The sequence below is a fragment of the Homo sapiens genome, chromosome 19, assembly GCF_000001405.40.
Source record: "Homo sapiens chromosome 19, GRCh38.p14 Primary Assembly".
Lineage (NCBI taxonomy): Eukaryota > Metazoa > Chordata > Mammalia > Primates > Hominidae > Homo > Homo sapiens.
Window position 1 is genome coordinate 3,627,358 of NC_000019.10, and position 27,097 is coordinate 3,654,454.

A 27,097-nucleotide genomic window follows, 5' to 3' on the forward strand; every position below is an offset into this window, starting at 1 on the left:
GTTAAGCTTTAAAAAAAAACAAAAACTTTGATAACTCCCTGTATTCCCCCATCAACCCATTTTAGAGACGGGGAAACTGAGGCTCAGAGAGGGAAAGTCACTCTTAACACTTGCCTTCTCAACCCAGGCTGCCCAGCTTTGTGGTGTGGGTGCTGGGGACCCGTGGGAGGGTTGTGAGCAGGGTTTGGGGGACTTGCTGTTGAAACAAGTTTGGCGTGGGAGGACGGACTTCAGGGGCAAGGCTGGAGGCCAGAGACCTAGAAGACGCTGATGTCCCATCCTGAGCTCCCCTAGCCCATGGTGGCTGCTACCACCACCCCGTGCAGTTCTAACCACTCGGGGCTGGGAAGGCCTGTTTATGGAGGATGATAGTAATTTAAGCTAACTTTTAAAATATTTATCTTGGCCGGGCACGGTGGCTCACGCCTGTAACCCCAGCACTTTGAGAGGCCGAGGCGGGCGGATCACCTGAGGTCGGGAGTTCAAGACCAGCCTGGCCAATATGGTGAAACCCTATCTCTACTAAATAATACAAAAATTAGCCGGGTGTGGTGGCATGCACCTGTGATCCCAGCTACTTGGGAGGTTGAGGCAGGGAGAATTGCTTGAACCTGGGAGGCGGAGGTCGCAGTGAGCCGAGATCGTGCCACTGCGCTATGGCCTCGGCGATAGAGCAAGACTCCGTCTCAAAAAAAAAAAGAAAATTAAAATGTTTATCTTGAGTGGGGTGCAGTGGCTCATGCCTGTAATCCCAACACTTTGGGAGGCCGTGGCAGGTGGATCTTGAGGTCAGGAGTTCGAGACCAGCCTGTCCAACATGGCGAAACCCCGTCTCTACTAAAAATACAAAAATTAGCTGGGCATGGTGGCATGCTTGTAATTCCAGCTACTCGGGAGGCTGAGGCAGAAGAATCGCTTGAACCCAGGAGGCAGAGGTTCCTGTGAGTTGAGATCGCATCATTGCACTCCAACCTGGGCGACAGAGCAAGTCCCCGTCTCAAATAAATAAATAAATAAATAAATAAATAAATAAAACGTTTATCTTGGAATACAACTTCATAACATCCCCGTAAACGCTGGCTTTGTATGCTTTGCTTGGTGTTAAGGCAAGGATGGAACCTTACAGAGGAAGAAGAGACCATCTCCTGCCGCTCTAGATGATGACCTTGCCGGTCCTGAGATGTGGGTTGTCATGCTGATGGGATGGCCCAAAACAAAGCGAAGGCCTGACCCTGTGCTTCCCAAAATTCAGATGCATCCTTGCAGCACATTAAGAGATCACTTGCATGGGCCGGGCGCGGTGGCTCAGTCCTGTAATCCCAGCACTTTGAGAGGCCAAGGTGGGTGGATCACCTGAGTTCAGGAGTTCGAGACCAGCCTTGTCAACATGGTGAAACCCCACCTCTACTAAAAATACAAAATTTAGCCGGGTGTAGTGCCAGGCACCTGTAGTCCCAGCTACTCAGGAGGCCGAGGAAGAATTGCTTGAACCTGGGAGGCGGAGGTTGCAGTGAGCTGAGATCGTACCATTGCATTCCAGCCTGGGTGACAGAGCGAGACTCCATCTCAAAAAAAAAAAACAAAAAAACAAAAAACAAACTTAAAACAACGAGATCACCTCCATGTTCAGTTTATAAAACAGCTGTGCTGAAACGTTCCAACGGCTCCCTTACAGACAGGATCTTACTTTTTTTTTTTTTTTTTTTTTGAGACATTTTCTTGCTCTGTCGCCCAGGCTGGAGTGCAGGGGCATGATCTCAGCTCACTGCAAACTCTGCCTCCCAGGTTGGAGCAATTCTCTGGCCTCAGCCTCCCGAGTAGCTGGGATTACAGGTGTGAGCCATCACGCCTGGCCAGGATCTTGTTTTCAATGTAGTTTCTCAACCTGGGAGTCCAAGATAAATGTGTTCCCTTCAAGGGGTCCAAACGTGACTGAATTGGAACCGCTCTAGCAGAACAAATACAAACTTTGGGGGGCTGCAAAGATGTTGGAAACAATAAAATGTTTTCTGAGCTGAACTGGGACCTGAAGAAGGTTCACAGCTGGTAAGGTGTTTGGGTCCTATTACTGGTATCAGCATCAATCTCACAAAGGTTTCTCTCTTCTCTAAGATTCAAAGTCAGTCCTCAGGCCAGGCACGGTGGCTTACGCCTGTAATCTCAGCACTTTGGGATGAGGCGGGTGGGTCCTTTGAGGTCAGGAGTTTGAGACCAGCCTGGCCAATGTGGTGAAACCCCGTCTCTACTAAAAATACAAAAAAATTAGCCAGGTGTGGTGGCGGGCGCCTGTGGTCCCAGCTACTCGGGAGGCTGAGGCAGGAGAATGGCTTGAACCCGGGAGGCAGAGGTTGCAGTGAGCTGAGATCACTCCACTGCGCTCCAGCCTGGGCAACAGAACGAGACTCCATCTCAAAAAAAAAAAAAACAAAACACAGGCTGGGTGCGGTGGCTCACACCTGTAATCCCAGCACTTTGGGAGGCCGAGGTGGGCGGATCACGAGGTCAGGAGATCGAGACCATCCTGGCTAACATGGTGAAACCCTGCCTCTACTAAAAATAAAAAATTAGCTGGGCGTGGTGGCGGGCGCCTGTAGTCCCAGCTACTCAGGAGGCTGAGGCAGGAGAATGGTGTGAACCCAGGAGACGGAGCTTGCAGTGAGCTGAGATTGCGCCACTGCACTCCAGCCTGGGTGGAGAGCGAGACTCCATCTCTTAAAAAGAAAACAAACAAACAAACAAAAACAGAAAACAAAAAACACAGAACAAAGTCACTCCTCAGACTCCCAACCAGACCTCCGGAACCCACAGAAAGGCAAACAGGCGGATGCTTATTACCCGATTTATTAGAGAGATCTCTAAAAAGACGGGGTGTGGCGGGGGTAGGTGGGCGAGGAACCTGGGATGCAAACCAGTGTTTGGGGCCAGGAGTGGCTGTATGGTTTCAGAGGCGCCCACCACTCTGGGTTTGAGGGACACAGCACCCTCGTCTCGGCGCTTTGGATTGTCACGCACCAGACCACGGGGCGGAGGAATGGAGTGGCATCCCTGGGGGGAGTTAAGACACACGAGGTTTGCAGTTTCATTTTGTTTCAGAATCAGTTTGGCCATAAAAATGGGACTGGGTTGGGGACAGGCGGAGCGATTGAACCACCGGAGATGAGGAGGAGGTGGCAGGCGCCTCTCCTGGGGTGGGGACTGAGGGCTGTGGAGACAGTACCATGGTGAAGGACCCCATGGCAATGGGAGTATTGCACTGAGCCAGGTTTCGGGGGAACGGGGACGTGTCGGGATGGCGTAGGGGGACAGAGCCTGGCAGGAGACACATGGAAGTTTCCGCCTTGTCAGTCTCAGAGCAAACGCCTTTTAGTCTTTACAGTACAGGAATTTGGACACTGCCCACGTTCTCAGTGGACAGCAGCCATCAGAGGTGACCCAGGAGGGGAAGTGGGCATTGGTCACCAAGGTATTTACAGACTTCTATCATGGGGGACAGCGGGGTGGGTCCAGCAGCCTCCCTCGCGGGGGATCTGAGGGAGACCGAGTTCGCTAAATATTATAAATAGGTCTTGCCGTCCTCCTGCCCCCGCCCCTCGGCACAGTCAGTGGAGCACGTCAGCCTCGGTTTACAGTTCTCTGAAAAGGAACCAAAAAACACAACCAACACCAAGTATATCTCCAAAAGGGCCTTGGAGACAACACAAGAATGGAAATGAAATGGTATCCACAGAGGTTTGCACATTTCTCCTGCAAAGGCGCGTCGGCCGGGCACTGGTGTCCCGTGTCACTCAGCGGAGGGAGGCTGCCCTGGACGCGGTGCCGCCCGCCCGGGGCCACACCTGCTGCTCCGAGTCACCCCACAGGCTCTTGGCGTCTCTGGTGCCAGGGCTCTGGGCAGGGCGACTCGAGGACTCCCTGGGAGGACTGGTGTGGCCTCTGGGGGTTGGGCCTTTGAGATGACAATGCCCCTGTCCCTGCTGGCCATCCAGGTCCCAGACACCCCTTCTGACCTCTGCCCCTGCCTCCCCGGGGGGTGCCTGCTGGGTGTCCTTCGGAGGGACAGGGCGGGGGCTGATGGGTGGATGCCCGGTGCCAGCAGATGAGCACCAGGCTGTGAACTGAGGCCAAGGTCGCTTCCCAGGGCTGGACAGACCCTCTGAGCACGCAGGGAGGACCCCACGTGGGCTTGTCCTGATGGATGCTGGGAGCCACGCGGCTGGCCGGTTCCCGAGGAGGGTCGGCCCCTCTCCTGGGCAGAGTGGAGGGGCTGCTCTCGTGGAGTGTGTGTCCTCGCTGGGGACCTCGGGGATGGGTCCGGCTTCTCCACAGCAGGGGCCTTCCGGGCGCAGCGTGTGGGCTGTGCAGGAGGCCGACGGGACGTGAACAGCGGGTGGCGTGGCGTCATACGGAGGTTGTAACAGACAAAACACAGAGCCCTGCCTGGGAGGTTCTCCGGCCGTCTCAGACCCCACACCAGGCTCTGCCAGGTCTGGAGAGGAATTCTTCCCAAAGGTGCAGCTTCCACTCCAGCTCCTCACATCCTGGGCACATCTTGGAAGTGGGGGATTCCCACAGCCATCACCAATAAGCCCCTCTCAGGGGTCCTGGGGAAGGGCAGGGTGGGTGACTCTGCCGAGCTCTGGCCTCCAACCAGCACCCTCTGAGCGCAGCGGGCCCAGGAAGCTGCCCCAGGGCAGTCTGGGCTGAGTCCCACCACTGGGAGCGCTGCCCTCTTGGAGGGTGATGAGTCGGAAACAAAGTCTTCTCTCCCCTCCTCGGAGACATCACATCACTTAAACAAGAAAGAGGCGGCGGACATCCACACCAGTCCTGAAGGAGACTCCTGTGGAGCCGGGCCTGGCCCCCTAGGCCATGTCTCCACGTGGAGGGGGCGGGGAGCCTGACCTTCCGCCCTGAGCTGGTCTCCTGTGGCCCAAGGCCCGGCCTCCCGCTCTGTCCTGCCATGGAGAAAACGTCTCCGTTGCCTGGGCCCTCCATGCCAGTTGCTGAGTGGCCTACGTTGGAAGAGAAGGACAAGTCCCCAGCCCTGAGCTCCGCCAGCGTGGGTGGCAGCCTGGGGAAGAGGAGGCCTGGCCCTCCAGCTGTGGTGGGTCTGGATTGGAGGCGCCAGAGGTTTTTGCTCGAGGGGCACCTGGGAGGTGGGCGTCAGGGCCCCACTGCGGCGGGAACATAGCTGCTGAGTGGCCGCAGTGCTTGGCAGGGCGAGGGCTGTCCCCACAGTCGATGTTCAGGCCAGATGTCCTGCACTGAGGCCCCCAAACCCAAGCTGAGGGCAGGAGGGTCCGCTTCCCACGTGGATGGAGGCAGAGTTGCTCGGGACCCCAGCCGTCCCCTCTGCAGGCCGATGGGGCCCCCGGGGCTCAGGTCCCCAGAGGCCACCGCGAACAGCCTGGCTTCTTCCTCAGGACACAGGCAGGCACAGCAGAGAACCAAAGAGTGCAGTGGGCAGGGGCTCTTCTCCCTCTGGTTGGTTTGTTTGTGTCTTTTTTGTTCTTTTCCTAAAACGGCACACACGTGCTTCCGTCTCTGTGCCAAATAAGGACTCAAATGCGATTGGCCGCTCGGGAGGGTGGGTCTCACAGGGGCAGGCTGCCGACCGGGGTGCCGGGGCCCTGGGAGGCTTGTCGGGGAGGGGCCCGGCCGTCGGCATCCGTGCAGGGGGAGGACGAGGTCCGGTGGGGCGGCGAGGCGGGCATCTCCCGAGCTCTGGGCCTCAGCGGGGTGGGCAGCGCCTTCGGGGGCAGCCGGAGCAGAAGTGGAGCTCGGCTCTGGGTCGGGGGCTGCATAGAAATTACTGCAAGAGCAAGAGGACAGGTGAAGGTGGGCGGGGCGAGGGCCCACCCCAGGCCCCCTGCCAGGGACTGGCTTCCTTGGGCCAACACAGGCCCTGAGACACTTAGCCCACGGCCACCTCAGAGCCAGAGAGCCCAGGGTGGAGCTCTGGGCCACCTGTGCCCTCCCGCCCCGGGCCTCAGTCCCTGCCTATCCCAGTAGCTGGGGACCACGCTCAGTAGAACCTTGGAGCCCACGGGACCGGCGGGTGCACCTGGGCTGCACTTACTGTGTCGCTCTCGCCGTCGGAGGCCGGGGGGGCCTGGGCGCTATAGTGGAGCGGGGAGTACACCCAGCTCCTCTCATCGGTGGGCTGGCAGGTGGGCGCGCGTGCAGGAGGGCGCGGAAGAGCAGGGTGCGAGGAGGTGCAAGAGAGGCAGAGGGAGGAAGGAAGAGACAGGAGAACATAAAAGAGGCGAATCCCCCATGGAAGACGAGGGGTGGCTCAGCCCAGCTGCCCTCTCTGACCCGGTGGACTTGCTCCCAACCTGGACGGGCCTGGGGCCTCAGCTCAGCTTGGCGGGGCGGGGCACGGCGGGCGGCAGAAAGCAGTTAGTTCAGTCGAGGCAGGGCCTGAGATAGCAGGTGACAGAGCCGGCGGAAGCGGGTGGGGGTCGCGACCTGGAGCACCGAGTGTTCCTCCTCCTCCTCCTCCTCCACAGCCCGGCCCCACCACAGCCCCCAATCCTGCCTGTGCCACGGGCACCAGCGCACAGGCTCCTGGAAGCTCTCTATGGGGGTCCTGGGAGGTCGGGGTGCCGGACCTACTTCCCAACCCAGAAGCCTTTTGGGACCTGAATATATGGCTGCCTGCGGGCAGGGCCAGTCCCCTCTGCCAGCACAGACGTGCTAGGAGAGACTGAGGCTCGGACCACCCACCCTGCAAGAGCCAGGAGACGCCTTCCTGAGCAGCAGGGCAGAGTGAGGGCCAAGTTCAGGGCTAGGCACAGGCAGGGCCGTGTGCAGGGACACGGACAGCTCTTCCCAGCTGTGCCTGCGTGAGGGGTCCCAGGTCTGGGTGGGATCTGGGGAGGGAGGGAGGGTGCGTTCCTCCAACACCTCCGTCCCGCCTCCTGAGGAGCCCCCACCCCCTCAAGCTCCCCCTGCTTCTCCTGCCCCTAGGCTGCTCTGCTTTCTCAGGGCTCCAGCCTGGCCGCCCTGTCTTCCTTGTTGTGTCCTCCTCTCTCTCGGGCCTCTGTCACCAACCCAGCCTTCAACGCCCCTCCCGGCACAGATGACCTGCGAATTTCCACCAGGCCTGGCCTCGGCCTGAAGTGCCAGGCCTGAATACACACCTGCCTGGCCACGTCCACCTGGCGGCCCTCGGCCCCTAAACTCGCCACAGTCACAACCCAGTCCATCACCCCAAGACCCACTGCTCGTCCTTCCAGTCAGGATGACGCTGCCCACCTGCTGCCCAGGCCAACCCATGCCTCTGCCAGCTCCCAGTTGCCCAGCCTGGGCCAGCAGGGGCCTCCCTTGTGCTCCAGGTGAGCCCAGACCTCACCTGCAGGAGCACTGCCTCTCCCTGCCTCGGGCTCTGCCTCCATGCTCCCTCTAAAGGGCCCACCTCTGTGCTCACTCCACCCTGCCCGATCCTACAGCTTCCACAAGACCCCTGTTCCCGGGCCCTGGGCACCGAGGGCAGCGCACTCCTGCCCTGCGAGGCCGCATCGCGGAGGACTGACTCCTGCACTGAGGGGCCAGGACCCCAGCGCAGGCCTTGCCTGTTCCTCCAGGGTAGCAAATGCAGCCTGGAATCCCTGACGTGGGAATGGCAGGTCAGGTCCACCCAACGTCCCTTGAGAGCCCGGCATGGGGAGCCTATGTGGGTGCTCAGTACTGATTTGGTGGCTGCACTGATGGATCCCATGGGGACTTGAAAATGTGGGGCCAAAACAGGGTCCCCACCTGAGCCCTGAAAGAACTGGCCCGCAGGGAGGAGGGTGGCAGCAGCCACCTCAGAGCCGCTCTCTGGGAGGGGCATCCCGGGCACACACAGCACGTGGGCAGGGATGACAGTATCCTTCTGCTACAGCATTAGAAACGGGGATACAGGCCAGGTGCAGGAGCTCACGCCTGTCATCCCAGCACTTTGGGAGGCCAAGGCAGGTGGATCACTTGAGGTCAGGAGTTCAAGACCAGCCTGGCCAATATGGCGAAACCCTATCTCTACTAAAAATACAAAGATTAAGGCCGGGCGTGGTGGCTCACGCCTGTAATCCCAGAACTTTGGGAGGCCGAGGTGGGCAGATACCTGAGGTCAGGAGTTCGAGACCAGCCTGGCCAACATGGTAAAACCCCATCTCTTACTAAAAATACAAAAAATTATTGGGGCATGGTGGCAGGAGCCTGTAATCCCAGCAACTCGGGAGGCTGAGGCAGAAGAATCGCTTGAACCCAGGCCAGAGGTTGCAGTGAGCTGAAATTGAGCCACTGCATTCCAGCCTGGGTGACAGAGTGAGACTCCATCTCAAAAAAAACAAACAAGGCTGGGCGCGGTGGCTTACGCCTGTAATCCCAGCACTTTGGGAGGCTGAGGCGGGCAGATCACGAGGTCAGGAGATTGAGACCATCCTGGTGAACACGGTGAAACCTCGTCTCTACTAAAAATACAAAAAAATTAGCCAGGCATGATGGCGGGCGCCTGTAGTCCCAGCTACTCGGGAGGCTGAGGCAGGAGAATGGCGTGAACCCGGGAGGCGGAACTTGCAGCGAGCCGAGATTGTGCCACTGCACTCCAGCCTGGGCGACAGAACGAGACTCTGTCTCAAAAAACAAACAAACAAAAAACTCAAAATTAGCCAGGCATGGTGGCAGGCGCCTGTAATCTCAGCTACTCAGGAGGCTGAGGCAGGATAATTGCTTGTACCTGGGGGGTGGAGGTTGCAGTGAGCTGAGATCATGCCATTGCACTCCAGCCTGGGCGACAGAGCAAGACTCCGTCTCAAAAAATGAAAAAAAAGAAAGGGCAGGACAGGTGGCTTCCTTGTCCTGCAGGAGTTGGGGGGACAGAGAGGGACACCCTCAGCCAGCAGCTGGGCAGACAGGGGAAGTGGGGGGCAGTAGCAGCTGGGACCCAGAACCGGGTGACCCCAGGAAGACCAGAACCAAGGGCACAGCCTCTTCAGCACTCAGGCCTTGGGGTGCTTTCAATGGCTGCCCTGCCTCCCTTCTGGCCCCCACACTTCCGCTTCTGCTGTGCCTGCTGCCGAGACCACCCTCCCCACGTCTGCCCCTTCAAGTCAGGTGTTTTTCAAAGTCCAAGCACCCCCCTCCGTAGGCGGCCTCTGCGAACTGCTCCCTGCCTATGGTGGGGTGGCCAGCAGGGCCGCTGGGTCTCTCCAGTGCTCCTCCTCCCAGCAGGCCCCTCTGGGCAGCTCCTGGACGATCTCCGGGGCACGGCTTCGCGGTGGCTGGCTTCCCGCTGGCTCCGTGGGACGGAGCTGCCTAGAGCAGCCGGGGAAGTGGTCTCCACCTCTTGGGGTCACTCCACAGTGCCTGGCACACAGAGGTGCTCGGAGAGGTTTGCTGATGGGCGGGGAGTCACGGCGGCCTCGGCGGAGGCTTTGTCTCGAGGGGACACTCCTGCTTTGGGTCTGCGCCCCGTTCTGGCTGTGCGGTGCTGGGCAGGTCTCTTAGGCTCTCTGGGCCCCTTGCTTATTGGTCATAATGACAACAGCAGGCCCTGAGGATCTCACAGCTACGTGGGGCCCATGTGGCGTCCCAGGGGGACCTCCTTGAGAGCTTGGGGATCTGGATTTTGACTAAACCGTGTGGTCTCCCAGGCTCCCAGGGGAGCCGAGGCCTCAGCGCCTCCATCTGTGAGGTGGGTGTGGAGAGACCATCTCCTCCCCGTCTCCATGGCCCTGCGGTTCAGAGCCCGGCCCTGCAGCCACTCTGCTGACCTGTGCAACCTCCCCTGTGCAGCCAGCGGGGCCACGGGCAGCCAGGTCTGCACGAGTGAGAAGCGTCCACCCAAGACACCCTGACACGAGAGGGCTGGGTCCAGGGGCAGAGAGGGGCTCGCTGGGGTCTGGCCGGGGTCCGAAGCAGACCCTGGGCCTCAGCTGTGCACCTGGTGATGGTGCTGCCCTATGGAGCGCCCGGTTCGACGTGGGACCGAATGACATTCCCAGTGACGCATGCAGCCCAGCGCCTGGTCCGGGGCCAGCGTGGCTGACCTCAATTGCAGCCGTGATTTACCCAAAGCCCTTCTGGAAAACAACTGACGTCAGACACTGAGCTTCCGGCCGGGGACCTGCGGCTCCCTGCTGCCCGAGGGGCACTGCCCCTTCTCCCCAGGGTGGCCGGCTGCGGTCACTTACAGTCCCCGAGGCGCTCAGCGTCACGGCCCGCAGTCGGCGATGGCGGGGAGAGTAAATCCAGTACCTCCCATCCGTGAACTGGACGGGGCGGGCCGGGTGGGCCGGAGGAGGAAGGAAAACAGAGGACAGCGGATGAGGCGGCCACCCCCGTGGTCGGGTGGGAGAGGCGGAGGGAGGTGGCGGGGAGCAGGTGGGGACAGCTGACTGCCAAGCAGAAGGTGGGGGGTGCCGGGGCAGGGGCAGGACCGAGGACCCTTCTCCCTTCTCTGCTGCCCACCTGGCAGGGCATCAGGACACAGACACACAGCACGACATGGCCCCCAGGCCCCCCGTACCATCCGGAGACCAGGACGCGCACAAACCAGTCCCAGGAAAAGGGGTGACGACGTGCGGTGGGTAGGGGCACAGGCACGCGGCCCGTCCCTCCCTTCTCCAGGGCCAGGTGGGTGCATGGGGACCCCAGAGGCGCCACTGGAGACAGAGCAGGGGAGTTAGTTATGAAGCAGCGAGGAGGTGCCCCCACAACAGGCCCTAAGGCCTGGTGCCCGTGCCCAGCCCTCCTTCCCAGGGGGTGCAGGGTGAGAACAAACCATCTGGGAAGTGGGCTGCAGCCTCCGGCCCTCCCTGTGACCTGGGGCTGCCTGATCTGAGTGGGACCACTGGGGAGTGGAGACGCTGCCTGGACATTCCAGGCCTCGCTGGCCGCCCGGCAGCCACCTCACCCAGACCCTGGCAAGGGAGAGCAGGGATCCCAGGTCCCCAGGGCCGGGCAGACCCTGCCCTGCCCAGTAGCAGCCACGAGTCCCCAGCCCACGGCGTGGGAGCGTGAAGCCCTCCTGCCACTGCCCGGTCCCCCGGCCCTCCTCAAGGATAAGCCCACCTGGCCACGCCCACGGCAACAGGGAGAAGGTCCTGCCGCCACAGCCCTGTCTGGACGTCTAGGCTGTCAAGGACACAGGACCTCAGCCTGTGCCAGGGCCTCCCGAGGGGCCAAGAGTCTGAGGACTCCGGACGACTTCCAGGGAGACGGGTGGCACAGAAGGTGCCGTGGGCACAAGGCCGGGGAAGGGGACAGGGGTGGCTCTGGGGCCTCAGAAAGGCCTGGTTTGGAGGAGCTTCCCACCCCATGGGGTTAGACCAGGAAGAGAAGGTGGGTGTGAACGTGGCTGGTGGGTGCGTGTGGGCGTGTCGTGAGAGTGCTGGCTGGTGAGAGAGCATGTGGGTGGGTCGACAGGGCACACTCACGTGCCTGTGTGCAGGTGTGTGTATGCGGTGTGCACACGGTGGAGCGTGTGTGAGAGAGAGTCCGGTTGACGAGCCGGCGGCAGGAGGAGCCCGGGGCACTTACAAAGTAGATGTCGGTGGCGGGCGCGTCCTCCTCGTCCGAGGCCTGGCTGGCAGGTGCGCCCTCCTCGTCTGAGGCCTGGCTGGCAGTTTCTACTTCAACAGCAGCAGAGGCACCGGCCGGGGAAGCCTCCACCCTGGGGACAGGAGTAGACAGAGGGTCTTGACCCTCAGGCCCCACACGGAGACTCCCCGCGCCCCCACTCAGGACCCAGGCAGGGGCTTCATACGGTCATCACGGAGATGAAAAGCCAGGCAGCTGACCACAGGCCGCGCGCTCCTGCGCTGCCATTTATCGCAAATCAGAACAAACCTCCCCAAGAAGCCCCTCATGCTGGCCCCAGGAGTGACCTGGAGTGACCCGCCAGCCCGCTGACAGCTCGGCCCTGCCACTCCCAGCTCAGACACACACACCTGTGGGCACGTGCTGGCCTCACCCTCACCGGCTGTGCCACCCTGGGAGGGCCTGTTCCTCCTCTGAGCCTCAGTTTCCTCATCTGTCAAGTGGGGAGAGATGGCACCTAGCCGCTGGGATCAGAGCTTCTTCCTTCTTTCATTGATTTGTTTTTTCAGACAGGCCCTGGCTCCATCAGCCAGGCTGGCGTGCAGTGCTGTCATCACGGCTCACTACAGCCTCCACCGCCCGGGCTCAAGCGATCCTCCAACCTTGGCCTCCCAAGTAGCTGAGACTATAGGTGTGCACTGCTACACCCAACTAATTTTTTTTTTTTTTTTAGAGATGGGGTCTCACTATGTTGCCCAGGCTGGTCTCCAACTCATGGGGTCAAGCGATCCTCCTGCCTCAGCCTCCTTTAGGAGGGATCACAGACGGAAGCCTCCGAGCCCAGCCTCTTTGTTCTTTTCACTGAGCACTTACTACATGCCAGGGCTGGCTCCCGTGATTAACCCACTGAGTCTATCATGGGGGATGGAGAGGGTGCGGCTACTGCCCCTGTGTTGCATTTGCGGAAACGGAGGCACGGAGAGGAGGTGAGGAACGGCCTTGGCCTTGGCTATGGCCACACGGTGCATCGTGTTCATCCCAGGAATGAGGCTAAACATGCCCTCCTGCCATGTCGGAGGTACAGTTCCTTTCAGCAAAACCTGAAATTTCACGGTGCAAGGTTTGGCAATGGCAAAGAGTTGACAGTGGCAGGAGCACTGGGTGGAAGATAAACCCCCAGGGCTTTAGTTTTGGGTCTACGCTGCTGTGAGCGCTAAAAAAGCTCTCTTGGAACAAAAATACAAAAGCATCTCAGGCAAAAATCATTACAAAGGCAAGAAGAATTTGGTAACAGTGCAAGCATGGGATTATACACACCAGACAGATGACAGAAAAGTAAAAACATACAGGGGCCGCCACGGGGCTCACGCCTGTCATCCTAGCACTGTGGGAGGCCGAGGCGGGAGGATCACCTGAGGTCAGGAGTTCGAGACCAGCCTGGTCAACATGGTGAAACCCCATCTCTACTAAAAATACAAAAAAATTAGCCGGGCGTGGTGGTGCATGCCTGTAATCCCAGCTACTCGGGAGGCTGAGGCAAGAGAATCACTTGAACCCAGGAGGTGGAGGTTGCAGTGAGCCGAAATCGTGCCACTGCACTCCAGCCTGGGCAACAGAGCGAGATTCTGTCTCAAAGAAAATAATAATAACAGCAGCTGACACCATATCCCCAAAAGGGCCAGAACTATTGTGTCCTGTGTTTTTTAAAAAAACAGATATTTCTTTTAAGCCTTTTTCTTCAATACAAAAATCAATAAAATTAATCCCAGTACTTTGGGAGGCCAAGGTGGGCAGATCACTCGAGGTCAGTTTTTTTTTTTTTAGGTGGAGTCTTGCTCTGTCGCTTAGGATGGAGTGCAGTGGTGCGATCTCAGCTCACTGCAAACTCTGCCTCCCGGGTTCACGCCATTCTCCTGCCTCAGCCTCCTAAGTAGCTGGGCCGACAGGTGTCCACCACCACGCCCGGCTAATTTTTGCTATTTTTTAGTAGAGATGGGGTTTCACCATGTTAGCCAGGATGGTCTCGATCTCCTGACCTCGTGATCCGCCTGCCTCAGCCTCCCAAAGTGCTGGGATTACAGGCATGAGCCACCGTGCCTGGCCAAGGTCAGGAGTTTGAGACCAAGCCTGCCCAGCTGGCTGATGGGAGAAACCCTGTCTTTACTGAAAACACACACAAAAATTAGCCATGCGTGGTGGTGGGTGCCTGTAGTCCCAGCTACTCAGGAGGCTGAGGCAGGAGAATCACTTGAACCTGGGAGACGGAGGCTGCAGTGAGCCAAGATTGAGCCACTGCTCTCCAGCCTGGGCAAGAGAGCAATATCCTGTCTCACAAAAAAAATTTAAAAAATTAAAAATAAAATAAAATTAAATTAATAAATACTAAAAAGGTTAAAAAAAAATTAGTTAAATACTTGGAAGTTCAGAGATGCTCTTACACAACCCTTAGCCCAGGGTCTCTTGCCTGGGCCCTGTGGACACTGGAACCAGGTCCTTCTCTGGGGTGGGGCCATCCCGGGCACTGCAGGCTGATGCTGAGCAGCGTCCCTGGCCTCCACCCACTCCATGCCAGGAGCACCCCCCAGTTCTAACAGTCACAAATGTCCCCAGGCATCGCCCAGTGTCCCCTGGGGGCTAGGATCACCCCGGCTAGTCGAGAACCACTCCCTTCAATCAAAAAATAAACTTATGGGAAAATCCACCATCTGTGAATACAACCTAGTAAGAAAGAACTGCTTCATGATGAAACCTCGGGGTGCTCTTGGCTCCTCTGGGCCCGCAGCAGGTGGGCGCCCCGACCTCCCGCCGAGGCCGTGCTCACCCTGCGTCCTCCTCTTTGGGGACCACAATCTCCACGCTGCACGCAGGCTCCACCTGCACTGTAATCTGCTGCAGATCCTCTTCCGCGGGTGGCTCCTCCTGCGGCCTGCAGGCAATGGGAGGTTGTGCCTCGGTTTCCCTCCTCACTTCCCCCATCCTACCCCCAGGAGTGCCCAGTGAACTCCAGGGCCAGTCCCAGAGGGGAGTTGGGAGCCTCCTGATTGGGTCTGTTCTTTCTGGCTGTCACTCCCAGCCCGGGGACTGTCCACCTGGGTCCCTTGGTGACTGTGGTGCCAGCAGGGCCTGGGGTGTAGCGGGCTCTGGGGGCATATGAGCAAATGGCAGCCCCGACCGGTGTGGGTGCCACAGACCCTGCCCACCCTCCAGGCAGTGCCTGCACCTGGCAGCCGAGGCCCTGACACAAGTGACTCAGTGTCCCGGCCGCCGGGCCTGGCCATGTAACATGTCTCTCCAAATGGCACGCTAGACTGCAGGGAGGGTCACATCCCACCCAGGGCACCAAGGGGTTTCTTTCACCAGGCGGCAGCGATTAAAACACGGTTAAGAAAAGCAACACCGCGCCACTGCCCCAGTGTTCACAAGAGTGAGACCCCAGGGACCTCGCAAATGTCCCCGAGGGCTGGGCACTTAAAGCCAGGTGCAGTCCATGGGATGGAAGGACGGCACGCAGGCGTGACAGGAACGGCGCGCACCCACCCCTGAGATCCCCGTCAGTCGAGTGACAACAGCAAGGTGTGGGCGGCGTGCACGGGTGTGCCCATTTGTGTCAAAATAAAAGGGAACCACAAGCCTGGTGCACGTCTGCTGTGTTCCCAGAAAGTATCTTCCAAGAGACAAAACCCACAGTCCCAGTGGTTGCTCCTGGGGAGGGGACAGGCCGTGGGCAGGAGGGGGCGCATTTCACGATATTCCCTCTTGTATCTTGTTTTAAGTTAAAAAAAAAACTTAATAGAAGAAGAAATAAGGAAGGATCCACAGACCAGAGCTGCCCTGGCTCTGGCTGTAAGAAAAACAAAGTGGCTGGAAGATTGTGTGCGGTGCTAGGGCCGAGTGCTACAATCTTAAATCTGTCCCCAGGAGAGAATGGGCAGAGAGCAGAGGGGCTGGGGGGCGGGAAACGGAGCTGGGAGCTGTGCAGGAGGAGCTGGTGAGACCCAGGGAAGGAAGGGGGTTGGGTCTCACCTGCCATCCTGTCCAGACGACTGTGTGCGCCGCCTGCAGAGATACAGCAAACACGTGACACCCAGAAAGAGAGTGGCCCGCCTGCTCAGTCTACCTGCCTTGCCTACCCGCCTGCCTACCTGCCCCCTGGCAGCCCTGCCCACCTGTACATATGCTCCTCCCTCCCACACATTGGATGCTCCGCCCCCGCGCACCCACATGCAGTGTATGTACATCCACCGTACATACGATGCTCCACCCACATGCACAGCGGATGCCCCGCCCACATGCAGTGAATGCCCCGCCCCCACGCACAGCGGATGCCCCGCCCACATGCACTGCGGATGCCTCGCCCACCTGTACCGCGGCTGCTCCGACGTCTCCGAGGGGGACCGCTCAGGAATGGAGAGGGATGTGGATGACAGAGTCGTGGCAATGGAGGCTGTAGTGGCTTCTTCGAAAGAAGGTGGCGTGCAGGGCAGGAGGTCGGGCCGGCCTGAGGGGAGAGGACTGTGGGCACCTTGCGGAGCCTCCGAGCCCCCAAACACACAGTCGATTCTCCCTGAGGCTTGGCTCACCCTGGGAACCCACAGCCCAGTGCCCGCCCGCCTCCCAGACACTCCCACCTCCCCACACGGCAGGGAAGGACGACGTTCCCCCTCACACAAAGGCTTCTGACCGCTCTCAAAATAGAATCCAGACAGCCCAGAGGGCCCTGTGCAGCCTGGCCCCGTCCCCTCTCCACTCTCCCTCCCCGCTGTCTTCCCCTCCACTGCTCTCTTCCCCTCCCCACCCCCCCTCCCTTCCCCTCCGCGCTGCTTGGCCACACGGGCTCCTTGCTGTTCCCTCAGCAGGTGTGGTCCTGCCCCAGGGCCCTTGCATGGCTATGTCCCTTCCTTCATTCCCTAGCCTGGGGGCTGCATGCCTTCGATGGCATCCTGGTGCACCTCAGATGACAGTGGCCGTGAGAGAAGGCGGGAGCTGTCACCACCCCACCTGGTGGAGCCTTCTATACTCAGCTCCCCCTGGGCTCTTCCCTGGGGCGGTCCCAGCAGCCCCCACTCCCTGGGCAGGCGGCCCTGCAGATCCGGAGGGGGTGGCTGAGCGATGGGCACTCAGGATGAGGCGGCACCCCACCCACGGGGCTGCTGCTGGCACCCCCTGTAGCGCCCACAAGCGCACTCTGCCCTCTGCCCCTCACCTTCGTCCTCCAGCGTGGGGTAGCTGCGGGCCCCCCGCAGGTCGTACTGGGCCTCCTCCCGCTCGCTAGGGATCTGGCTGGCCGAGAAGGCAGCGGTGGGCCCCAGCGGTTTCACAGCTAGCAAGGCTCCGCCGCGCCCCTTCTTGGAGGGCGAGGACTTCAGGGCTGCAGGGAAGGGTGGGGGTTGGTGCTTGGGGTTGCTGGGGGCTCATAGCAAAGCCCAGACAGGGCCGCCGCCCACATATACCCCACGTCCCTGTGGCCCACCAGACCCCTACCGGTCCCTGAGGCCAGGAAGCACCACAACCTCTTGGTGGAAAACCGGGGTCTGCCTGGGGAGGGACTGCGAGCCCGAGTTCCCTGTCCTGCCCACCCGACTGTCTCTATGAGACACACTGGGACCTGGCACAGTGCCTGCCCCTCCTGGGATCCTGCAGACCAGTGACTCCCATCTAATGAGCTGGCCAGGGATGCCTGCAGGCTTCAACCCCTTCTATGTGCGGCCCAGCCCGGGCAGGGCCCCCACTTTCAGATGGACACTGACAGCCTTGGGGAGCACCAGGTGTTGTGGTTAGAGAAGCCTGTGGCTCAGCATGTAGGGCCTGAGCGCAGATCCAGGCTCACCCGCTGGCTGTGCGGCTCGGTCTCTCTGGGCCCTGGGGGCCGACCTTAGCGGTGGGGTGAGGTGGGGCAGGTGATGTCCCGCACAGGGCCAGGCCTGTCCTCAGTGCTGTGTGAGCTCTGCCTCCTCACCAAGCTCTTGTGACCTCTGCCCCCAGAATGACCCACACAGCTCCTGGTAAACAGTAGGTGCTCAGTTTGCCTTGTGCAGCTTCCTACAATCACCAAAGGCTGGCAAACAGCCCTGGATGACGGAATGATCCTGTGGCATCGGTCCCAGAGAGTGGGGTGTGGGGACAGGCTCAACGGCTGGCTCTCTGGAGACAGATCCTGACACGTGGTGTCTGCCAATTCCCACGGTGTTGATGAGAGGGGGTCCCTGACCTCGAGGCCGTGAGCAAGTGTGCAGGCCGGGAAGAGCAGCCTGCCTGCAAGCGCTGGGCACTGGCGTGCCTGTCCCTGCCACCTCCCTGCAACCCCCGTGGGTGCGGACCCGCAGATCATTCATGCCCCCCACCAGACACTTCCCAAGCATCTCTGTGGGCCAGGCCTGTGCAGGATGCTGGGGAGCCCGGGAGCCTTCTGGTGGGGAGGGTGGCTGAGAAACAGACCCCAGGGGGGAATCCATCTGGCAGCAGGTTGGCCACGGGCTGAGGTCTGCACAGGGGCCTGGAACCCAGAGTCTGCGTCCAGATGCTACAGTGGCCCATGAGGGGAAGCTGAGCCCTGAGAGATGGGGACCTCCCCCGGGCACCCTGTGGGTGAATCCCGAGTCCCCACCTTCCCCACCACTGTTTGCCCTGGGACCTTCCCGACCATGCCCTGCTGGGCTAGCCTCCTGCGTTCCCCTGCCCGGGGTGCGTTTCCTTGGCGATGGTGATGCTGTGGGCAGCCCCACACACTGTGAGCTATCTGCTGAGTCAGGCCCACCCATCCCATATATAAACACTGTACCCTCACAGTGCTGTGCCAATGGGGAAACCAAGGCACAGAGGCAGGTGCCTGCTCAAGGCCACATGGGCAGGACGAGGCCAGGCTAGGATTCAGGCTCTGGCGGTGGCTCCAGACCCGTGCTCTACCGCTGTGCAGAGCAAATATCCCGACTACCCTACCTCCGGATGAGGCCCGGTCTGAGGGGGGCACAGGGGCTCTGAGTTTACTGCCCTGCCCAGGGGGCTCTCGGCCTCCCGCAGAGTCCCTCCTGCCCCACGGCGCTCTGGGCCTTCCCCAGGGTCCCTCCCGCCTTGCGGGGCTCAGGTGGCTTACAGGAGTTCTTCCGAAAGACCGTGTTGCTCATGAACTTGAAAAAGCGCTCGGCATAGAAGCTGGGGCGGTGGACGGACACCGTGTCCTGGAAGAGAGTTGGGGGGGGTGCCCGGGGGCAGAGGGTGCATCAATCAACAGCTGGGGACAGCCCCAGACAGACGCTGTATGTGTGTGGGGGGCACCTTCTGTGTGAAAAGGCTCGAGATGGGTCCATGGCGCCATGGCTTCCTGGGAGGGGCTCACGGAACAGGGAACAGTGGCTCCCTCTGGGGAGGGAGACTGGGTGCCAGGGAATGGGTGGAGGCTTTTCCACTAGAGACCTGTTAGCATTTTTGACTTTTTAAACCAGCTGAATAAAGTATTCCGGCCAGGCACAGTGGCCCACGTGGACTTGTAGGGGAGGCTGAGGCAGGATGGCCTGGCTGGGGCCCTGCTGGGATGTGATCTCGGCCTCCCAGAATGCAACCTCCTTTCCCAGCCTCCTTGGGTGAGGAGTGGCCACGTACCAGGACTGTGAACGACTCCACCCCCGCAGGCTGCAGTGGGAGGTGGTGCCCGGCCACTCTGGGCCAGGGGACAAGGACAACCCCAGGGACATGCGGCGGCAGCACAGGACACCCTGGCCAGCCTCGTCAGAGCCGAGACAGCGCTCCTATCTGCCCTGGGCAGCAGGTTCCGGGCCTTGGCAAGGTTTAAGACATCCCCAGAGGCCTCTGCCAGCTGCCATCCTGACCCGCTCAAGGCTTATTCTGGAAGCTCCTGCCTGGACCTTCTACACGCTCTTTTGAAAAATGGGGGTGCCTGTTGGGATCTTGGATTCTACAGGCTGTGGTCACACAGACGTTAGTCCTCAGTGCCTGGCCCCAGGCGGTACTCTGCGTTTGTGGAGTGACGGATGGGAGGAAGGCTGGGACGACAGACAGGAGGACAGAGGGAGGAAGGATGGGAGGAGGGGTGCAGGCACTCACAGAGGGAGGAGGGATGGGAGGAGGGGTGCAGGCGCTCACAGGGAGGAAGGATGGGAGGAGGGTGCAGGCGCTCACAGAGGGAGGAGGGATGGGAGGAGGGGTGCAGGTGCTCACAGAGGGAGGAGGGATGGGAGGAGGGTGCAGGCGCTCACAGAGGGAGGAGGGATGGGGGGAGGGTGCAGGCACTCACAGAGGAGGGATGGGAGGAGGGTGCAGGCACTCACAGAGGAGGGATGGGAGGAGGGTGCAGGCACTCACAGGAGGAGGAGGGATGGGAGGAGGGATGGGAGGAGGGTGCAGGCACTCACAGAGGGAGGAGGGATGGGAGGAGGGTGCAGGCACTCACAGGAGGAGGAGGGATGGGAGGAGGAATGGGAGGAGGGTGCAGGCGCTCACCCCATCGTGGACGAGGGCCTTCCAGGTGTGCTCCAGTTTCTTGATGAACCTGTGGAGAGAGCACCCGGAGTGGCAGCTGACATCAGCCAAGCCCATGCCAGGCCACCTCACTCAGGGGCCACTGTGCACCCCCCAGGACACTGGGCCATGGCCTCAAGCAGTCGTGGCTGTCAAAACTCAGGGTGGCAGGTGCTCCTGGCAGGGAGTGGGTGGAGGCTCTCTGCTCAGTACCCTGCAGGGCCCAGGACGGCCCCACCCCAGAGAACCATCTGGTCCCAATGTCCATAGTACCGAGGGGGTGACTGTTTTTAAACATTCTAGAGCCCCAGCTGAGCACGGTGGCTCACACCTGTAATCCCAGCACTTTGGGAGGCCAAGGCAGGCAGATCACCTGAGATCAGGAGTTCAAGACCAGCCTGGCCAACATGGTGAAACCCCATCTCTACTAAAAATACAAAAATTAGCCGGGCGTGCTGGCGCGTGCCAGTAATCCCAGCTACTGGGGAGGCTGGGGCAGGAGAATAGGGTCGACTCAGAAGGCAGAGGTTGCAGTGAGCCAAGATCGCACCAATGCTCTTCGGCCTGAGTGACAGAGCGAGACTTTGTCTTAAAACAAACAAATGAAAAACCAAAAAACAAATATTCGAGCCCCAAAGTGAGGCCTCAAACCCACTCCTTGGATTTTCTTTTTTCTTTTTTTTTGGGACAGGGTCTTGCTCTGTCACCCAGCCTGGGGTGCAGTACGGCCATCATAGCTCACTGCTGCAGCCCCAGACTCCTGGGCCCAAGGAATCCTCCTGCCTCGGCCTCCCAAGTAGCTGGGACTGCAGGAGCACCACCACGCTCAGCTAATTTTTTGATATTTTGTAGAGATGGGGTCTTGCTATGTTGCCCAGGCTGGTCTCAAACTCCTGGGCTCAAGCAATCCTCCCGCCTCGGCCTCCCACAGTGCTAGATTACAGGTGTGGACCACTACGCCCAACTCACTCTAGATTTTCAAGGCGACCAAACACCTTCCCTTTAGGGCTCAAGAAGGGGCAGCCAAGCAAGAGCTTTCCAGGTTGAGGAAGCCCCGAGAGCTGCTGGTGCGGCTGTTTCCACGGGCAAGCGCCTCTGTGCATGGGTGTCCTGGGGGCGCCCATCCACCTGTGGGACTGCAGACCCAGGCGCCCACCTGTGGGGCTGCAGACCCGGGCGCCCACCTGTGGGGCTGCAGACCCGGGCGCCCACCTGTGGGACTGCAGACCCGGGGCGTCCACCTGTAGGACTGCAGACCCGGGCACCCACCTGTAGGACTGCAGGATGTCGATGATGCCAATGTGCAGCAGCAGCCGCTCCCCGCGGCCGTTCACAGCGGGGATCCCGCCCATCCTGGGGAGAGAGGCCGAGGGTACCATCAGCATCCCGCAGAGCTGGGACTCGGGGCAGGCGGGGCTGGGGACTCCAGGGCTAGGGAGTCCATCTGCTCCTGTGGGTGGCAACTTGGCCAAGCTCTCGGAGTGGGGCCTGGCACCCGGGAACCTCTGTCCTGACATCCCTCCATCACCCCCAGCCTCAAACCCAGGCCCAGGCACTGCTGAGGAGTCCCAGCTAGGAGGCCTGGGCACATACCCCCTACACACACGTGTGCCTGGACACACACATGCACACACACGCACACTGCATGCCCAGGTAGGGCCACGGGGTCTCAGGTACAGACTGGGGAGTTAATTGTCACCCGGCACCATGCCCACACGTCCCCTGCCCAGCGCGGGAGTTAACTGTCACCCGGCACCATGCCCACACGTCCCCTGCCCAGCGCGGGAGTTAACTGTCACCCGGCACCATGCCCACACGTCCCCTGCCCAGCGCGGGAGTTAACTGTCACCCGGCACCATGCCCACACGTCCCCTGCCCAGCGCGGGAGTTAACTGTCACCCGGCACCATGCCCACACGTCCCCTGCCCAGCGCGGGAGTTAACTGTCACCCGGCACCGTGCCCACACGTCCCCTGCCCAGCGCGGGAGTTAACTGTCACCCGGCACCGTGCCCACACGTCCCCTGCCCAGCGCGGGAGTTAACTGTCACCCGGCACCGTGCCCACACGTCCCCTGCCCAGCGCGGGAGTTAACTGTCACCCGGCACCGTGCCCACACGTCCCCTGCCCAGCGCGGGAGTTAACTGTCACCCGGCACCATGCCCACACGTCCCCTGCCCAGCGCGGGAGTTAACTGTCACCCGGCACCGTGCCCACACGTCCCCTGCCCAGCGCGGGAGTTAACTGTCACCCGGCACCGTGCCCACACGTCCCCTGCCCAGCGCGGGAGTTAACTGTCACCCGGCACCGTGCCCACACGTCCCCTGCCCAGCGCGGGAGTTAACTGTCACCCGGCACCGTGCCCACACGTCCCCTGCCCAGCGCGGGAGTTAACTGTCACCCGGCACCGTGCCCACACGTCCCCTGCCCAGCGCGGGAGTTAACTGTCACCCGGCACCGTGCCCACACGTCCCCTGCCCAGCGCGGGAGTTAACTGTCACCCGGCACCGTGCCCACACGTCCCCTGCCCAGCGCGGTTAGTGAGGCCACACGTGCAGCAGTCATCCTGAAGCCACTGGGACCCAGACCCGCTGGGCTGGCGCCCTGCACGCTCTGCTCACGCCACAGGCTGGTACGCTCACCTGCTCCCCCGCCAGGCCAGCGAAGACCCTACAAACGCCAGGATGGTCTGAGGGGGAGCTGTGCCTGGCCTTGGCTCCCGCACCCCCCCGCAGCTACACCCTGGTTGGGGCCCCGGCTCCTCCTCTGCCATCCATGGGAAATACCACCACCGCTGCAAACCAAAGCCCAGCTGGTGGCCTAGTGCCAGCCAGTGCCAGCCAGCACCGTCCCTGGGGCCAGGCCAGGTGGAACTTGGCTCCACACCTTCGTGGCTGCACTGGGGAAGGCTGCCCCCCAACCTAGGAGCCTATTTCCTCAGCTGGAAACAGGGGAAGCCCACCTCCCTCCTCCAAGGCCGCTGTGAAGACTGAACAGGTACCAAAGTGAAGGCTCGGGCCTGCCCCCACTGTCAGGGTGCTGCTGTGACCAGGGCACAATCTCAGCACTGCTATACGACACCTGTCTATCCCGCATCCGGGGCCATGTCTGGGGACATCTGTGGTTGTCACAACTGGGGGGTGCTCCTGGCCCGGAGTGGGTGGAGGCCCGGGACGCTGCTCAGCACCCTGCAGTGCCCAGGACAGCCCCACCCCAGAGAATGACCCAGCCCTCACATCCAGTGTCCCAGGAGAGCTCTGTGAGTATCTCCCCAGCCAAACCCTGAGCCCTGTGAGGGCAGGGCCTGCCTGGTCCCTCTGCCCCTGGTGTCCAGCAGACATGACTGCAGGCCACTGAGATGTGGCCTCCTCTCTCCACCACCGTTCCTATCTTCTGTGGCAGCCACTTTTTTTTTCTTTTTGGACAGAGTTTAGCTCTTGTTGCCCAGGCTGGAGTGCAATAGCTCAATCTCAGCTCACTGCAACCTCCACCTCCTGGGTTCAAGCGATTCTCCTGCCTCAGCCTCCCAAGTAGCTGGGATTACAGGCGTGCACCACCACGCCCAGCTAATATTTTGTATTAAGCAGAGATGGGGTTTCACCATGTTGGCCAGGCTGGTCTGGAACTCCTGACCTCAGATGATCCACCTGCCTCAGCCTCCCAAAGTGCTGGGATTACAGGTGTGAGCCACCGCGCCCAGCGTTTTTTTTTTTTTTTTTAAGACAGGGTCTCACTCTGTTGCCCAAGCTGGAGTGCAGTGGTGTGATCTTGGCTCACTGCAACCTCCGCCTGCCACGCTCACGCCTGCCACGCCTTCAGCCTCCCAAGTAGTTGGGACTACAGGTGCACGTGCCACCACGTCCAGCTACATTTTATATTTTTTGTAGAGATGGGGTCTTGCCATGTTGCCCAGGCTGGTACTGAACTCCGGGGCTGAGGCAATCCTCCCACCTTGGTCTCCCAAGGTGCTGGGAGTACAGGCATGAGACACTGCGCCCAGCCAGCAGCTGCTTTGATCTGTGTGGAATCGGATTTTGCAGTCCCTCTGCTTCGTGGGCTGTGTCCTGCTGTGAGCCCTGCCTCGCCCGATCCCTCTGGCCTCCCATGCGCCTTCCACACCTTTGTGGCCCCTCTCTGCACGGGTGGCGTGTAGACCCCTCTGAGTGCCACCGGGAAACGCTATCTCTCTCTCATTCCTGTGGATGGCCAGTGGCCTCGGCCCAGTCACGGGTGAATGGGAAACGCCCCCACCATTGCAAGCCAAGGCCCGGAACCCTGCACTCAGCCTGCGGCCCGCACTACGGCCTGGCTTCGCTCTGAGGCGCTGGCACAAGGCTCCCAGACTCTGTCTGTCACCCACGCATGCCCTCGCCAGCCCTCCCTGCCTGTTTTCACACTTGGGACGGGGATGGGGAACTGGAGCCTGTGGGGAAGGGAAGCGGGACGGGTCCGGCGGCCCCCCGCCCACCTACGTGTCATCCGATTCGATGGCCTCCCCGCGCGCGGCGCCACCCTGGATGGACTCCATGGCCGTGGAGTAGAGCGCCTTCTGGCCCACAGGCCGCTTCTCATCTGAGGTGCTCTGGGCGCCCTGCGCCTGCCGCTCGCGCTCGTGCTGGTCGATGTTGTGCACGCCCAGCAGCAGGCTGTAGTCCATGATCTTGAAACTTTCCAGGACCTGGCGGGATCGGGCAGGAACACGCCACGCCGTCAGCCGTCTCTATCCCCCACAACGGCTCCCGGACCCTATGGGGTTCCCAGCACGGATGGCCCCGTGGGCTCGGGTGTGAGAGATGGAGTCCCACGGCCAGGCAGGAGTGGGGGTTCTAGTGTTATCCTGAGGAACAGAGGGGCTGCGGTCACACAGCGGCATCAGAGCAGGCCAGAGAATGGGGGCTTCCAGCCTCACAGCAGGCTGCCCCGGGCACTGAGACAGGGACTTCCCTTCCTGGCTTTACTCCTTCCTGAGAGACAGGGAGCCGGGCCTATGCTCTGACCAGCCCAGGCCCATGGGCAAGGACGTGCCCGGCCTGACAGGTGACACCCAGGTGGGTGGATGCCCAGGGTAGCCTCAAGGCCCCTGAGTGGTCTGGGCGGTTTTCTGGGGGTATGGGTCAAGTTCTCAAAGGGGTCGGGGAGCTGGGGATGGTCAGCAGCGGGGCCTGGGTGGAGTTGGGGAGCTGGGAGGTCCCAGGCTCTGCTCCTGACAGGCTGGGGCCTCCCCTCCTTGGCTCCATGCCTCGAAGCTGCCGGGGTGGGACGGGGACGACGGAGCTAACCCAGGCAGAGGAAGAGCCGTGCATATCATTCTTTCGCTAACACGGAGCCAACGCAGGCTCCACGGGGACAGGAGCCAGACCCTCACTGGACGCACATGGGCCCTCACTGTGGCCTGCAGAGCAAGCAGTCATCCCATTTGATGGGTGAGGAAACTGAGGCACAGCAAGCTCTCATGGCTGGCTGGGAGCTCTGGGCTTGTGACCACAGCATCTGAAGGCTGGGCTCTTCTCTGGGGGGTGGGGGGACTCTACCACTGTCATCGTGTAACCTCCAGAGGAACCACTTCTCAGCAGTGCAGACACTCCCGACCCCCAAGGGCTGGGTCTGGGGACATGTTATAAGTGTTTTGTTTTCTTTGTGAGATGGGGTCTCACAATGTTGCCCCTGCTGGTCTTGAAACCCTGGGCTCAAGCCATCTGCCTGCCTCCCAAAGAGCTGGGATCCCAGGCGTGAGCCACTGTGTCCGGCCACATTTTAGGTTAAGGCCATAAAAGCTTGAGCGCTTCTGGATCCCACACTGGGGTGGGGCCTGCTGTAGGCTGCAGGGCAGGTGGGCCTCGGCCTGGCACCCTCCCTGGCCCTGCCTGCCCAGGCCGAGCCCTCACCACGCAGTCCCACCTGCCACCCTCCCTCCCCGGCCGGGGCCGAGCCCTCACCAGGCAGTCCCGCTGCAGCGTCTTGACCAGGGCGCTGAAGGTGTCGGCGTCCAGCAGGAGCCCCTCGGGCATGTCCTGCATGAAGTCCAGGTCCTTGTAGGTGGGGAAGCTCTTCTCCTTCTCCTTCTTGCTGGCGCGCCGCTTGTAGGTGGAGCCCTTGAGGTCGAACTTGAGGTGCATCTTGACCACGCGGGGCAGGATGTTGTTCATGACCACGACGCGGATGTTCTTGCCCCCCGACTGCACGCAGTACAGCCCATAGAACTTGGGCAGCAGCGTCCGCGGGTTCTGGTTGAGGTTCTGCCGGGGGAAGAGGGCAAGTCGTGGAGGGCGGCTGGGCCACAGACTCACGGGGGCGGGCAAAGCAGGCCTCTGCCTCAGGGGGCTCATGGATGCCCCTGGCCAGCCCCCCTCTCTCCCCAGAAGCCCTCGGGGACCCCGTTCCTATGCAGGCACCCAGCTGGCCTTCCCACGGCACCCTGACTCTCATGGGCCACAACTGTGAGCTCCAGGAGGGTCTGTTTCTACAGAGCCAGGCCCCAAGGCAGGCGCTTCTGTTCCAGCAGAAGCTTCCACACTCCCTGCCTGCCCACAGACATCGCCCTGGCTGGGCTCGCCTGTTGGGAGGTCTGGAGGCCGGAAACGCAATGCTGTATCCTAAAATACATACATGTATGTATATGCACACACAAACACATACACACACACGCACACACACATGTATTTTCTTGAGACAGGGTCTCGCTCTGTCGCCCAGGCTGGAGTGCAACGGTGCGATCACAGCTCACTGCAGCCTCCACCTCCAGGGCTCAAACCATCCTCCCACCTCAGCCTCCGAAAGTGCCAGGACTCCAGGCGTGAGCCCAGCCTCTATGTTGGTTATGCTTTGCCTGTGTTGAACTGATCAACTCAGACTTTCACTCCAAATCTGGGTCCCCAGGCGCAGTGACGAGTCTGGGTCCTGCTGTACCCTGTAGACCCCAAGCAGGCACTGGGTGACTCAGGGGCACCCAAGTGAAGCAACAGCGCCCCCTGCCCAGAGCCTCTCAATGACGAACCCAGTGGGAAGCTGCCCAGGTGTCGGGGCTGAGACAGACCCACAGGGAGAGGAGTGAGGGGCGCGGACTCAGGCACCAGCCTGGGCAGGCTAGGTGAACTCCAGCCC

The 27,097-nt window shown here is 60.9% G+C and overlaps 1 protein-coding gene across 11 annotated transcripts in view, besides 3 other annotated features; it reads right to left on the bottom strand.

The window, feature by feature from the left end:
- The window catches only part of PIP5K1C (phosphatidylinositol-4-phosphate 5-kinase type 1 gamma), a 70,286-nt gene continuing 46,014 nt past the window's right edge, over positions 2,826-27,097 (bottom strand). For 2 of the 11 annotated variants that reach the window (NM_001300849.2, XM_047438536.1), the window contains exons 7-17: positions 25,933-26,232; positions 24,469-24,674; positions 21,268-21,351; positions 19,981-20,029; positions 18,617-18,701; positions 16,730-16,894; positions 15,886-16,024; positions 15,550-15,582; positions 14,348-14,452; positions 11,527-11,659; positions 9,244-10,256 (exon numbers count right to left, since the gene is read on the bottom strand). In NM_001300849.2, coding sequence (NP_001287778.1) covers positions 10,053-10,256; positions 11,527-11,659; positions 14,348-14,452; positions 15,550-15,582; positions 15,886-16,024; positions 16,730-16,894; positions 18,617-18,701; positions 19,981-20,029; positions 21,268-21,351; positions 24,469-24,674; positions 25,933-26,232 — 1,503 coding nt within the window. In that variant the 3' untranslated portion in view covers positions 9,244-10,052. Of the gene's footprint in view, positions 5,813-6,079; positions 6,164-6,338; positions 6,424-8,746; positions 10,650-11,526; positions 11,660-14,347; positions 14,453-15,549; positions 15,583-15,885; positions 16,025-16,729; positions 16,895-18,616; positions 18,702-19,980; positions 20,030-21,267; positions 21,352-22,638; positions 24,394-24,468; positions 24,675-25,932; positions 26,233-27,097 lie in introns of those variants that run through there. The other 9 variants (XM_011527848.2, NM_012398.3, XM_011527849.2 and 6 more) reach the window with 9 other exon arrangements.
- Positions 16,214-16,753: an enhancer, noted in NCBI's record as "H3K4me1 hESC enhancer chr19:3643569-3644108 (GRCh37/hg19 assembly coordinates)". NCBI's record gives its function as "activates a minimal SCP1, AML or CMV promoter by ChIP-STARR-seq in naive H9 embryonic stem cells {active_cell/tissue: H9 hESC(naive)}" and the evidence as "EXISTENCE:reporter gene assay evidence [ECO:0000049][PMID:30033119]".
- Positions 16,754-17,291: an enhancer, noted in NCBI's record as "H3K4me1 hESC enhancer chr19:3644109-3644646 (GRCh37/hg19 assembly coordinates)". NCBI's record gives its function as "activates a minimal SCP1, AML or CMV promoter by ChIP-STARR-seq in naive H9 embryonic stem cells {active_cell/tissue: H9 hESC(naive)}" and the evidence as "EXISTENCE:reporter gene assay evidence [ECO:0000049][PMID:30033119]".
- Positions 17,305-17,505: a silencer, noted in NCBI's record as "peak3250 fragment used in MPRA reporter construct". NCBI's record gives its function as "represses an SCP1 promoter by STARR-seq MPRAs in K562 erythroleukemia cells {active_cell/tissue: K562}" and the evidence as "EXISTENCE:reporter gene assay evidence [ECO:0000049][PMID:32103011]".